Raw genomic sequence first — 15,136 nt, 5'->3', positions numbered from 1 at the left:
TGTGAAGGTTTCAAAATTAGGTAGTTTTCTCTTTCTGGTTCTGTGGATTTCTTCGTGTAATATTTACTTTTGTTTCCATCTCAAGTCTCTGAACACTAACTGCCATTCTCGTACCACCCTCATCTCTCATCCTGTGCTTCAGGTTTTCTGTGGAGTCCAAAGACACTTGACAGCTATGAGTAACATTTTATTGTTGTTGACTTTTTAAAAAATTAATAAACTTGGCCGGGCGCAGTGGCTTACACCTGTAATCCCAGCACTTTGGGAGGCCGAGGCGGGTGGATCACAAGGTCAGGAGATCGAGACCATCCTGGCTAACATAGTGAAACTTGTCTCTACTAAAAACACAAAAAATTAGCTGGGCTTGGTGGCAGGCGCCTGTAGTCCCAGCTGCTCGGGAGGCTGAGGGCAGGAGAATGGTGTGAACCCAGGAGGCAGAGCTTACAGTGAGCCGAGATCACGCCACTGCACTCTAGCCTGGGCGACAGAGCAAGGCTCCGTCTCAAAATAAATAAATAAACTTTATTTTTTAGAGCAGTTTTAGGTCTGCAGCAGAATTGAGTGGAAAGTACAGAATTTCCCATACACTCCTGCCCCGCCCCTACCACACATGGTATGCCACACTATCCACATCCTGCACTGCAATGGCATATTTGCTAGAATCAGTGAACCTGCATTGACACATCATCACCCCAAATCCATAGTTTGCATTAAGTAGGGTTCACTCTTGATGTTGTGCATTTTATGAGATTTCGACAAATGTATAATACTTATTTACCATTGTAGTATCATACACAATAGTTTCACTGCCCTAGAAATCTGTGTTCTTCCTGATCATCCCTCCCTACCCCATCCCTGGATGACCACTAATCTTTTTGCCATCTCCATAGTTTGACCTTTTACAGAATGTCATATAGTTGGAGTCATATAGTATGTAGCCTTTTGAGATGAGCTTCTTTCACTTAGTAATAAGCTTCACTAAATAATATTAAGTTTCTGCCATGTTCTTTTCATGGCTTGATTGCTGATTTCTGTTTAGCACTGAATAATATTCCATTGTCCGGATGTACCAGTTTATTTATTCACTCACCTATCAAAGGACATCTTACCTTGGTTATCTTATATTTATTAATAACTGCCAGACTCTTGGCAGTTATTAATAAAGCTGCTGTAAATGTCTGTTTACAAGTTTTTGTGTGGACATATATTTTTCATTTATTTGAGTAAGTACCAAGGAGCCTGACTGCTGGATCATATAGTAAGAATATGTGTAGTTTTGTGAGGAGTTGCCAAACTGTCTTCCCAAGTGTCTGTGTACCATGTTTGCATTCCCACTGGGAATGAATGAGAATTCCTGTTGCTCCACATTCTCCTAGCATTTAGTGTTATCAGTGTTTTGCATTTTGGCCATTCTAATAGTGTGTAGTGGTATATTGTTTTAATTTGCCTTTCTCTGATTACATATGTGAACACCTTTTCATATGCTTACTTGCCATCTGTGTATCTTCTTTGGAGAGGTGTCTGTTCAGGTCCTTTGCTCCTTTTAAAATCCAGTTATTTATTTTCTTATCAAGTTTTAAGAGTTCTTTGTATATTTTGTATAACTGTCTTTCATCAGATATACTTTTGTTAATATGTTTTTCCGAGTCTGTGGCTTATCTTCTCATTCTGTTGACATTGTCTTTTACAGAGCAGAAGATTTCAATTTTAATGAAACCTAGCTTGTTAATATTTCTTTCATGGATCATACCTTGGTGGTTTTGTATCTAAGAAGTCTTCATCGGCCAGGCGCGGTGGCTCAAGCCTGTAATCCCAGCACTTTGGGAGGCTGAGGTGGGCGGATCATGAGATCAGGAGATCAAGACCATCCTAGCTAACACGGTGAAACCCCGTCTCTACTAAAAATACAAAAAATCAGCTGGATGTGGTGGCGCTCACCTGTAGTCTCAGCTGCTCAGGAGGCTGAGGCAGGAGAATAGCTTGAACCTGGGAGGCAAAGGTTGCAGTGAGCTGAGATGGCACCACTGCACTTCAGCCTGGGTGACAGAGCGAGACTCCATCTCCAGAAAAAAAAAAAAAAGTCTTCGTCATACCCAAGTTCACCTAAATTTTTTTCTCTGTTATCTCCTAGGAGTTTTATAGTTTTCTGTTTTTACATTTAGGTCTATGACTCATTTTGAGTTTTATTTTTGTGAAGGGTATCAGGTCTACTTTCATTTTTTTCCATACGAATGTACAGTTGTTACAGCACCATTTGTGGAAAAGATCATCTTTGCTCCATTGTATTGCCCTTGCTCCTTTGTCACAGATGAGTCGACTATAGTTATGTGGGTCTATTTCTAGGCTCTTTGGTCTGTTGGTATTTTTGACAGTACACCACTGTCTTGATTACTGTGGCTTTATTGTAAGTATTCAAGCCAGCTTGTGTCAGTCCTCCAAGTTTGTTCTTCTCCTTTAATGCTGTCTATCCTGAGTCTTTTGCCTTTCCATATAAACTTTAGGATCAGTTTGTCAATATCCGGGAAATAACTTGCTGGGATCTGATTGGGATTATATTGAATCTATAAAGTTGGGAAGAACTGACATATTGACAATATTGGGCCTTCCTGTCCATGAAGATGGAATATCTATTTAGTTCTTCCTTTATACGTTTCATCAGAGTTTATCGTTTTCCTCATTAGATCTTGTACATATTTTGTTAGATTTGTATCTAAGTAGTTCATTTTGGGGGTTGCTAATGTAAATGGCAATATGTTTTGGATTCACATTGCTGGTATATATGAAAACTATTGGCTTATGTATATTAACCTCGTATCCTGGAACCTTGCTATAATCACTAATTAGTTCCAAGTTTTAGATCTTCTACATACATAGACAGTCATGTGATCTGCAAAGTTTTATTTTTCCTTCCCGGGTCTCTATACCTGTTATCTCCTTTTCTTATCTTATTGTGTAATCTTGCTTTGTTCCTAATCTTAGCAGGAAAGCTTCAAGCTTTTCATCATTAAGTAAGATGTTAACTGTTTTTTGTAGATATTATCAAGTTGAGGAAGTTCCCCTTTATTCCTAGTGTGCTGAGGCTTTTTAATCATGAATGGTTGTTGATTTTGTCACATGCTTTTTGTGCATCTATTTATATGATCATGTGATTTTTCTTTTTTAGCCTGTTGATGTGATGTATTACATTAATTGATTTTCATATGTTGAACTAGCCTTGCATACCTGGGACAAATCCCACTTGGCCGTAGTGTATAATTCTTTTTATACATTGTTGGATTTGCTTTGCTAATATTTTTTAGAGGATTTTTGCATTTATGTTCATGAGAATATGGGTCTTTAGTTTTCTTTATTTTTTAATTAATTTTATTTTTTGACACAGAGTCTTCCTTTGTTGCTCAGGCTGGAGTGCAGTGGTGCGATCTCAGCTCACTGCAACCTCCGCCTCCCAGGTTCTCCTGCTTCAGCTTCCCAAGTAGCTGGGATTACAGATGCCTGCCACCACACCCAGCTAATTGCTGTATTTTCAGTAGAGACAGGATTTCCCCATGTTGGCCAGGTGGTCTTGAACTCCTGACCTTAGGTCATCCACCCGTCTTGGCCTCCCAAAGTGCTGGAATTACAGGCGTGAGCCACCACGCCTGGCCTCATTCTTTTTTTTGAAGATGTTGCCCAGGCTGGCCTTGAACTCCTAGGCTGGAGCCATCCTGCTGCCTCAGCCTCCCAAGAAGCTGTGATCACAGGCACATACCACTAGGCTCAGCTTAGTCTTCTTTTTTGTAATGTCTTTGTCTGATTTAGGGTAATGCTGAGCTTATAGGATAAGTTAAAAAGAGATTGTTTCTATCTTTTGGAAGAGATTGCGGATAATTGGTGTAATTTCTTCCTTAAATGTTTGGTAGAATTCCCCAGTGAACCCATCTGGGCCCAGTGATTTCTGTTTTGGAAGGTTGTTAATTATTGATTGAATGTATTTAATAGAAACAGGCATGTTCAGATTGTCTATTTCTTACGTGAGTTTTGGCAGGTTTTGTCTAAGACAACAGTGTACATACCTTAATTTAAAAATACTTTAGGCCAGGTGTGGTGGCTCATGCCTGTAATCCCAGCACTTTGGGAGGCCAAGGTAGGTGGATTGCCCTAGCCCAGGAGTTTGAGACCAGCCTGGGCAACATAGGGAGACACTGTCCCTACGAAAAATTTAAAAATTAGCTGGGCATAGTGGCACATGCCTATAACAGCCCCAGCTACTCAGGGGACTCAGGTGGGAGGATCACTTGAGTCTGGGAGGTTGTGGCTCACACCTATAACCCCAACCCTTTGGAAGGCCAAGATGGTAGGATCACTTGAGCCCAGGAGTTCAAGACCAGCCTGGGCAATATAGGGAGACCTCGTATCTACAAAATAAAAAATAAACCTGGCTGGGTATGGTGGTCTGAGCTACTTGGGAGGCCAAGGTGGGAGGATGGCTTGGACCTGGGAGGTTGAGGCTGCAGTGAGCTATAATTGTGCCACCGCACTCCAGCTTGGGTGACAGAACGAGACCTCATCTCAAAGCAAACAACAACAACAAAAAAACTTTACCGGTAAAAAATACTGACCCAAAGATACAAAGTGAGCACATGCTGTTGGAATGTTGGAAAAATGGCACTGACAGACTTGCTCAGTGCAGAGTTGCCACAAACCTTGAATTTGTAAAAAAAAAAAAAAAAAAATGTGGTATCTGCAAAGTGCAGTAAAGTGAAGTGCAATAAAATGTGGTGTGTCTGTACTGGTTTTGCTAATGAATAGAGATACCTTTTGGGTGAAATCATGTATCAGTGAAAATCTGCCAGTGACCTGGCCATCTTTCAGGTGGTTTCTATTGCTTAGTGAATTATTTTGAGATTCATCTACGTGGTTGCATGTATCAATAGTTTATTCCATTTTATTGCTGCATTGTATTCCATTCTAAGGGCATACCATGGTTTGTTTATCCATTCACTCATTGATGGCCATTTGGGTTGTTTCTGTTTTTGGCTACTGTGAGTAAAGCTGTGAACTTTTTTTTTTTTTTTTTTTTTTTTGAGACAGAGTTTCACTGTTGTTGCCCAGGCTGAAGCTGTGAACATTTTTGAACAAGTCTTTCTGTGGACATAGGCTTTCCTTTCTCTTGAGGCACAAAATTGCAAACCACTTGATGCCTTACAGTAAGGCAGAGATCTGTGCAGGTGCTGAAGGATGAGTAAGTAGATTGTGGGAGGGACACAGAAGTAACTGCAGGTGCCAGAGCAGATGATCCAAGCATAGGCGCCAGGCATTGAAGTGGTGGCACACTTGATTGCAGGCTTTTTTCTTTTTAATGGGCTTTTCGTTTTCTCTCAGGATAACGTCCTGAGTCTTTCTGGTCCTCTTCCCGCCTCTCACATTATACCCAGTTTCTCCCTGCCAGGGCCGTTAGCTGTGTCAGACCCTGCTCTTTTCTCTAACAAGAATAAAGAGTTGGTGATGGAAGCTAAGATGTGTTGCAGGTTTGGTGCAAGGACTCACATGTGCAGTCTACATGTGTTACTGTGTGTAATCCTTCCAGGAACCTACACAAAGGAGGTACCATTATCATCCCCACCAAGCATTAAGGAGAACAAGGCTCAGAGAGGTTAAATAACTCATTCAAGATTGCACAGCTAGTAAGTGATGGGTTAGATGTTGAACCAGACTTCAGAGGTGGCACTTTGAACCTCAATATTGTGATTAATGTACCCTCATTGAAAAGCTAGATCATGTATGGCGTTTAAGATGACATTTTAAACTGTTTTCCCCATCATCTAGTTAACTCTTGTATTCCTGACTTACTGTGTCAGTCCAATGGCCTTGTCCCTGGTAGCCCAGCTAGCTCAGATCACCCTGGGCAGTAACCCCAGCAGCAGTATCCCCAGCAGCAGGTACCTCTCACCAAGCCTGCCATGGCCCTTGTGCTTGATTAACGCCCACTGGGCTGTGAGCACAGCACAAGTGCGGGCGCCATCCTTTGCTGCCCTGACTGTCCACCACTTCAGAGTGCCAGGCGCTCGATGATGATCTCTGAATGAACCAGGAAAATGAGTGAATGAGTTACATTATCGGATGTGCATATTTGTCATCAGCTTTATTGAGGTGTTTGTCAGCTTTATTAACTTATTTACATCAGTTTTATTGAGATTATTTACATATAGCAAAGTTCATGGATTCTAAGTATACAGTTCAGTGAGTCTTGATAAATGTGTGCCATCATGTGACCACAGCCACATCAAGGTAAAGTATGTTCCATCACTCCAAGACCCTCTCCTGGCCCTTGCAGTCAATCTCCTGCTCCACCCCCAGCCTCAGCAACCTCTGTTCTGTTTTTCTGTCCTTAGAGTTCTGCCTTTTCTAGAATTTTAGACGTGGAATTATATAGTATACAGTCTTTTGTGGATGTCTTATTTAACATAACAGTCCTTTTGAGATTCATCTGTATTGTTGCTTGTATCAGCAGTTCAATATGTGGTTTTAAGACTGTTTGGAAATTGTCCAGAGATAGCTTGTCCCACTAGGTTTAGAGTCATATGGCAAGTTAGAGCAGTGGTCCTGCAGGTGTGCCCCTGGCACTCTTTCTGTTCCCAGATCCTTGCAGAGGGTCAGTAAGGTCAGACTGATTTCCATAATAATGCCAAGGTGTGATTTGCCTTTTTTCACACTCCTCTCATGGGTGTGCAGTGAGGTTTTCCAGATGACACATGATATGTGGATTCACAGCAGATTGCATGCAGAAGCAGATAGGAGAGTCAATCTTTCTGTTAAACTCTCTGGCTTAAAGAAATTTATAAAAATGTTAATGTCACTCCTCACTAAAATTTTTTTTCTTCTCACTAAAATTTTTTGTATTGGAAAATTATTTTTCATAACAAATATTGTTTATAGCAACATGTAATGGATTGTTATTATTAGATGAATTAATAGACATTTTTAAATATCTTTGATTTCTCATATGACAGATCATCATAAATATAAACTGTTTATGACTGTCTGTCAAATAAGAAGTAAAGAAGCTCTTTGAGCAGAAGCTCTGTAGGGTCCTCAATTTTGTACTGTAGAGAAGTCCTGAGACCAAGGAATTTGAGAATCACCGGGTTAGAGATAGTTTTGAAAGGGGGTTTGGGAACAAGATAAGAACTCTGGAGCTGGAGAGGAATTAGAAGAGGGTCATGAGACCCTGGGCTGGCGACCTGGCTTGACGGGCCTGGAAAAGGGTCCTCTGTTGGGTGGGTACAGAGGGGCTCGCCCACGCGTAAATGCAAGGACACACCGTGCCAGTTCTTAGCCTCCTGCTCTCTGAGGACCTGGTCAGGCAGGTTCTGTTGATGTCCTTGGTCTACGTGCTTCCTACCAGGAGCTAATAAGTAACCTACGCCTGCCTGCAGTTGTCTCACAGAAGACGGATCGGGAGGCCTGAGGAGGCCGCTCTTTCCTGATACGAGGTTACAGCTGGGGTCTGATGTCAGGTGGGGGGCATGGTGGGGTCTGCTTTCTCTGCTGTATTCTTCTGCAAGGGTGAGTGTAAGAAATCATTAGCTATTTCTATGTCTTTCAAGAAAAAAAGTTCCTCTTACCCCCAGTAGAGTTCTAAGCCCAAATTAAAAGACTATGTAAAATAATTACTTGAGTGAAGGCAGGTGGGAGGCTACTTTTATTATTGGCAGTATCCTTGTGGAAAAAAAAATATGTGTGGCTCTTGTTTAGGGATTTTGATAACACTATTAACAAACTACAGCAAAATGGCACCTACTGCCTTCTGACCTATTCATTGCTTTTCTCTTGCAGGCGAAAGGGCGTGTGGTTGCGCCTGAGGAAGATACTTTTCTGTGTTTTGGGGTTGTACATTGCCATTCCATTTCTCATCAAACTATGTCCTGGAATACAGGCCAAACTGATTTTCTTGAATTTCGGTAAGTGGTATGTGTCCATTTTTCCTTTAATTTTAGTAAGGGTTCATTTTCATGGTGATGTCTGATTTTAGGGGTAGTCTTTTTACTTTAATGGAGATTTAGTTTACATACAGTGAAGGGTACATATCTTAAGTGTACAGTTTATATACCTATATCTTTAGAGATAGATAGGTAGAGCTACCACCCAGATTGAGAACTAGAATGCTTTTATTACCCAAAAAGGTCCCTGTGCCCCTTCCCAGCTGGAGGACTTTCTGTGCTAGTGTTGCTCCCCAGCACTGGATTTCTGTCCACAGAAGACTACACTGCCCTGGGGGACCAGCGTATCTGTCTTCAGCTGAGGTGAGTAAAAATGTTGACAACATGAGAAGTCAGCTGAAGCCATCATGTTGGAGATGCCTTGTCAGTTGTGCATTCCAGGAGCCTAGCTGCCCTTGGAAAAGATGACCACTGAAAAATATAGTACCTTTAAAAAAAAATGAGGCCTTTTTTCTTTTTTAAAACAAATTAGTTTTTTATACCCTTAAAAAAATCCAGATACACAGTACTTTGGTTTCTGTGGAATTTTGTGCTGGCCTTGTAGGTATTGTAGTCTCCTTGAGTGAACTTGGACCTTGTGTGTTTTTTCACGCTGTGTATTTACTTTTGGAGATGTGGGAGGAGAAAGGTGCAGAAGTATCAAGCCCATGAGGTCAAAGGCAGAGGCTCTGGGCACATGGCCCTGGGAACAGTCCTACAAGCGAGGCTCCAAGGAAAGGGCCGCATCTGTGGGTTCGAGGTTTGAGAACAACGGGGCTCGCACACGGTGGGTGTTCTGTGAAGGACAGCCTGAGAGGCAGGTGCTGACAGCATTAGAACAGGATGAGGCAGGGGCTCTGGGGTCACTCTGTGGCTAGATTGGTTTGCACATAGTGAGTCTGGCCTTATGCGTTTGGGAGTTTGAGGCTTGGAAAGCTGGGCCTGATATTGCTGAGGCAGCAGGTAAGCTGGTGGAGTGGGAGGAGGAGGAAAGGAGGAGGCCGCAGAGGAACACAGGAGGTACTGAGAGGTGCCGGACTCCCTCTGCAGGCATCTGGGCTTATGAGTTTGGGTGTTCAGTCTATAATAGACTTAATCACAGAAACTTAGGAGATGACTGGCTAAAAAAGGAATTTCTGTTTCTTTGTTTTTGTTTTTTTTAATGCCGGTAAGAAGAACATAAATTATAAGGCTATTTAATACTTTGTAAATCTGAGTTTTTATTTGGGTGTCTTAAAATAACTGTAAAACACATGTAGTATACTAAGAGGCATTTGATTTTTCTAATGGAAAAGTAGAACTTCTAGGAATTTTTCATCTCTAAGTTTTGTCACTTGTGAGAAGCACAAACTCAAAAAGAAACTAACAGTATACCAAAATGATGGGAGTTTTGTTTTTCTGACTTTAATGTTCCTTAAATGTACACAGTACAGCCCAGAAAGCATTTGGGGCTTAGGTATAAACACGAAGCTACAAGGGCTGCAGATTCACCATCAGCAGACCTCAGACTTGACCCTCATGGCTTTTCTACCTTTGCTGGCCCCCTTGGGCAGGTGCCTTTGCTGCCAGGCACATGAGCTGGTTCTTGAAGGGAGGGTGTGGGGTGCATTGCCCTGCGTGGCCTGGTACATTGTGGGCTCCCAGCAAATGTTTGAATTGAATAGATTTTCTTTAGCTTGATTGTTTGGGCTACTGTAGACACACAGCCTACAGATTTTGTTCTGTGGGTTTCCTAAGGAGGTGGTAGACTGCTCTGAGGGAGGAGAACTTTGGGTTCTCCTGGTCCAGCCCCATGGCATGGGAGAGGAGGGCTGGGCTTGGGCAAGGGGAGGCTGAGCCTCCCAAGGTGTTGCCCATCCTTAACGATTTCCTTCCACCTGTTTGCCACACTGGAGTTAGGTGAGCCTACAGTGGCATTTTGTTTTGTTGTTTTGTTTTGTTCTGAGACAGGGCGTGGCTCTGTTGCCCCAGCTGGACTGCAGGGGTATGATCACGGCTCACTGCAGCCTCGACCTCCCAGGTTCAGGTGATCCTCCCACCTTAGCCTCCTGAGTTGCTGGGACTCCAGGCACCCACCACCACAACGTCTGGCTAATTTTTTATATTTTTAGTAGAGATGGGGTTTTGCCATGTTGCCCAGGCTGGCCTCAAACTCCTGGGCTCAAACAATCCTCCTGCCTTGGCCTCCCAACGTGCTGGGATTACAGGCGTGAGCCATTGCACCCAGCCCTGTGGTGTTTCTGAAAGAGATTTTTAGTTGCCAAAGGTCTAGCACCAAGAAACAGTGTCCCTGGGAGCAGCGATTGGACATTCCTTTCGCCTCACCCCCCTGGGCATCTGCCTGGCCCCCACACCCCACTCCTCCTGCCTCTCCATGATGAGCGACCCTCATCTCCAGGCCCCGCTGTCCTCCCCGGGAAGCCACAGTGTTTTATCAGCACATGAGGCCCTTCCAAGTGTGGTTCTCTGTCTCCCCCTTTGGGAGGAAAGGCAGTCTTCAGAGGAGCAGCATGGAGCTTGTTGGTTTTCCAGTTGTAATGTGCGTCCAAGGTTTACAGGTCTGTGCCTGTCTGCGTCGCCGAGGAGGTGGGGTCTGTGGCGTGGCCCTGCAGTGATTTGGAATTTTGTTGGGGAGGTGCCTCTGCTCTTGTGCCCAGACAAGAAGCCTGACCTGGGCATCCATTCAACATTACAGGAAAAGTAGCAATCTCTTGGGCCCCAGAATGTGGTTAAAATATTCTTCACAGCAAATCTATCTGAAACCAAATTTATAAATTAGATAAATAAGCTTTTAAAGAAACATAGCACCTACAATGTAAGGCATTATTCTACTTTAAATACATTTTCATAAGCAAAACATCATGATTATTCTAAAAACAAAGAATTAGCTAAAAAAAAAAAGAACCCTGAATAGTATAAATAAGAAAATGAACATTACTCTGAGAAAATGCTTGTTAACACCGTAGTTTATTTCCTACTGACCTTTTTTATATGTGTCTGTTTACATGCACATAAATATATGTGCTTTTCAATACTTGTATGCACAGTCTGATTCCATCCAAAAGATGTTTGGATGAGACTCAGCATTTATGAAGCCTAGAATATCTTCCCAGCCGTTATTTGCCTTCAGATCAAGAAGGTATCTCTTAGTGAAAGTCATGTCTTGGTTCAGAGGCTAGGGAGGGCTTTTTTGGAAATAGGTCAGATCTATCATCATGCATTTGTTTTTTGTTTTTTTTTTATTTATTATTATTATACTTTAAATTCTAGGGTACATGTGCACAATGTGCAGGTTAGTTACATATGTATACATGTGCCATGCTGGTGTGCTGCACCCACTAACTCGTCATCTAGCATTAGGTATATCTCCCAATGCTATCCCTCCCCCCTCCCCCCACCCCACAACAGTTCCCAGAGTGTGATGTTCCCCTTCCTGTGTCCATGTGTTCTCATTGTTCGATTCCCACCTATGAGTGAGAATATGCGGTGTTTGGTTTTTTGATCTTGCAATAGTTTACTGAGAATGATGATTTCCAATTTCATCCATGTCCCTACAAAGGACATGAACTCATCATTTTTTATGGCTGCATAGTATTCCATGGTGTATATGTGCCACATTTTCTTAATCCAGTCTATCATTGTTGGACATTTGGGTTGGTTCCAAGTCTTTGCTATTGTGAATAATGCCGCAATAAACATACGTGTGCATGTGTCTTTATAGCAGCATGATTTATAGTCCTTTGGGTATATACCCAGTAATGGGATGGCTGGGTCAAATGGTATTTCTAGTTCTAGATCCCTGAGGAATCCCCACACTGACTTCCACAATGGTTGAACTAGTTTACAGTCCCACCAACAGTGTAAAAGTGTTCCTATTTCTCCACATCCTCTCCAGCACCTGTTGTTTCCTGACTTTTTAATGATTGCCATTCTAACTGGTGTGAAATGGTATCTCATTGTGGTTTTGATTTGCATTTCTCCAATGGCCAGTGATGGTGAGCATTTTTTCATGTGTTTTTTTGGCTACATAACTGTCTTCTTTTGAGAAGTGTCTGTTCATGTCCTTCGCCCACTTTTTGATGGGGTTGTTTGTTTTTTTCTTGTAAATTTGTTTGAGTTCATTGTAGATTCTGGATATTAGCCCTTTGTCAGATGAGTAGGTTGTGAAAATTTTCTCCCATTTTGTAGGTTGCCTATTCACTCTGATGGTAGTTTCTTTTGCTGTGCAGAAGCTCTTTAGTTAAATTAGATCCCATTTGTCAATTTTGGCTTTTGTTGCCATTGCTTTTGGTGTTTTAGACATGAAGTCCTTGCCCATGCCTATGTCCTGAATGGTAATGCCTAGGTTTTCTTCTAGGGTTTTTATGGTTTTAGGTCTAACGTTTAAGTCTTTAATCCATCTTGAATTGATTTTTGTATAAGGTGTAAGGAAGGGATCCAGTTTCAGCTTTCTACATATGGCTAGCCAGTTTTCCCAGCACCATTTATTAAATAGGGAATCCTTTCCCCATTGCTTGTTTTTCTCAGGTTTGTCAAAGATCAGATAGTTGCAGATATGCGGTGTTATTTCTGAGGGCTCTGTTCTGTTCCATTGATCTATATCTCTGTTTTGGTACCAGTACCATGCTGTTTTGGTTACTGTAGCCTTGTAGTATAGTTTGAAACCAGGTAGTGTGATGCCTCCAGCTTTGTTCTTTTGGCTTAGGATTGACTTGGCGATGCAGGCTCTTTTTTGGTTCCGTATGAACTTTAAAGTAGTTTTTTCCAATTCTGTGAAGAAAGTCATTGGTAGCTTGATGGGGATGGCATTGAATCTGTAAATTACCTTGGGCAGTATGGCCATTTTCACGATATTGATTCTTCCTACCCATGAGCATGGAATGTTCTTCCATTTGTTTGTATCCTCTTTTATTTCCTTGAGTAGTGGTTTGTAGTTCTCCTTGAAGAGGTCCTTCACATCCCTTGTAAGTTGGATTCCTAAGTATTTTATTCTCTTTGAAGCAATTGTGAATGGGAGTTCACTCATGATTTGGCTCTCTGTCTGTTGTTGGTGTATAAGAATGCTTGTGATTTTTGTACATTGATTTTGTATCCTGAGACTTTGCTGAAGTTGCTTATCAGCTTAAGGAGATTTTGGGCTGAGACAATGGGGTTTTCTAGATATACCATCATGTCATCTGCAAACAGGGACAATTTGACTTCCTCTTTTCCTAATTGAATACCCTTTATTTCCTTCTCCTGCCTAATTGCCCCGGCCAGCACTTCCAACACTGTGTTGAATATGAGTGGTGAGAGAGGGCATCCCTGTCTTCTGCCAGTTTTCAAAGGGAATGCTTCCAGTTTTTGCCCATTCAGTATGATATTGGCTGTGGGTTTGTCATAGATAGCTCTTATTATTTTGAGATGTGTCCCATCAATACCGAATTTATTGAGAGTTTTTAGCATGAAGGGTTGTTGAATTTTGTCAGAGGCCTTTTCTGCATCTATTGAGATAATCATGTGGTTTTTGTCTTTGGTTCTGTTTATATGCTGGATTACATTTATTGATTTGCGTATATTGAACCAACCTTGCATCCCAGGGATGAAACCCACTTGATCATGGTGGATATGCTTTTTGATGTGCTGCTGGATTAGGTTTGCCAGTATTTTATTGAGGATTTTTGCATCAATGTTCATCAAGGATATTGGTCTAAAATTCTCTTTTTTGGTTGTGTCTCTGCCCGGCTTTGGTATCAGGATGATGCTGGCCTCATAAAATGAGTTAGGGAGGATTCCCTCTTTTTCTGTTGATTGGAATAGTTTCAGAAGGAATGGTACCAGTTCCTCCTTGTACCTCTGGTAGAATTCAGCTGTGAATCCATCTGGTCCTGGACTCTGTTAGGTTGGTAAGCTATTGATTATTGCCACAATTTCAGCTCCTGTTATTGGTCTATTCAGAGATTGAATTTCTTCCTGGTTTAGTCTTCGGAGGGTGTATGTGTCGAGGAATATATCCATTTCTTCTAGATTTTCTAGTTTATTTTCATAGAGGTGTTTGTAATGTTCTCTGATGGTAGTTTGTATTTCTGTGGGATCAGTGGTGATATCCCCTTTATCGTTTTTTATTGCGTCTATTTGATTCTTCTCTCTTTTCTTCTTTATTAGTCTTGCTAGTGGTCTATCAATTTTGTTGATCCTTTCGAAAAACCAGCTCCTGGATTCATTAATTTTTTGAAGGGTTGTTTGTGTCTCTATTTCCTGCAGTTCTGCTCTGATTTTAGTTATTTCTTGCCTTCTGCTAGCTTTTGAATGTGTTTGCTCTTGCTTTTCTAGTTCTTTTAATTGTGATGTTAGGGTGTCAATTTTGGATCTTTCCTGCTTTCTCTTGTGGGTATTTAGTGCTATAAATTTCCCTCTACACACTGCTTTGAATGTGTCCCAGAGATTCTGGTATGTTGTGTCTTTGTTCTCGTTGGTTTCAAAGAACATCTTTATTTCTGCCTTCATTTTGTTATGTACCCAGTAGTCATTCAGGAGCAGGTTGTTCAGTTTCCATGTAGTTGAGCTGTTTTGAGTGAGTTTCTTAATCCTGAGTTCTAGTTTGATTGCACTGTGGTCTGAGAGATAGTTTATTATAATTTCTGTTCTTTTACATTTGCTGAGGAGAGCTTTACTTCCAAGGATGTGGTCAATTTTGGAATAGGTGTGGTGTGGTGCTGAAAAAAATGTATATTCTGTTGATTTGGGGTGGAGAGTTCTGTAGATGTCTATTAGGTCTTCTTGGTGCAGAGCTGAGTTCAATTCCTGGGTATCCTTGTTGACTTTCTGTCTCGTTGATCTGTCTAATGTTGACAGTGGGTTGTTAAAGTCTCCCATTATTAATGTGTGGGAGTCTAAGTCTCTTTGTAGGTCACTCAGGACTTGCTTTATGAATCTGGGTGCTCCTGTATTGGGTGCATATATATTTAGGATAGTTAGCTCTTCTTGTTGAATTGATCCCTTTACCATTAAGTAATGGCCTTCTTTGTCTCTTTTGATCTTTGTTGGTTTAAAGTCTGTTTTATCAGAGACTAGGATTGCAACCCCTGCCTTTTTTTGTTTTCCATTTGCTTGGTAGATCTTCCTCCATCCTTTTATTTTGAACCTATGTGTGTCTCTGCACGTGAGATGGGTTTCCTGAATACAGCACACTGATGGGT

The 15,136-nt window shown here is 41.6% G+C and overlaps 1 protein-coding gene across 12 annotated transcripts in view; it reads left to right on the top strand.

Annotated features, from left to right (window-relative positions):
- ABHD12 (abhydrolase domain containing 12, lysophospholipase) overlaps positions 1–15,136 on the top strand; it is a 96,093-nt gene that overhangs the window by 43,669 nt on the left and 37,288 nt on the right. For 6 of the 12 annotated variants that reach the window (NM_015600.5, XM_047440090.1, NM_001042472.3 and 3 more), the window contains exon 2: positions 7,816–7,940. In NM_015600.5, coding sequence (NP_056415.1) covers positions 7,816–7,940 — 125 coding nt within the window. Of the gene's footprint in view, positions 1–7,419; positions 7,546–7,815; positions 7,948–8,162; positions 8,283–15,136 lie in introns of those variants that run through there. The other 6 variants (XM_047440089.1, XM_047440088.1, XM_047440094.1 and 3 more) reach the window with 4 other exon arrangements.

This window comes from Homo sapiens, chromosome 20, assembly GCF_000001405.40.
Source record: "Homo sapiens chromosome 20, GRCh38.p14 Primary Assembly".
Lineage (NCBI taxonomy): Eukaryota > Metazoa > Chordata > Mammalia > Primates > Hominidae > Homo > Homo sapiens.
Note: the sequence above shows the minus strand (reverse complement) of the source record. Positions and strands in the feature narration are given on the sequence as shown.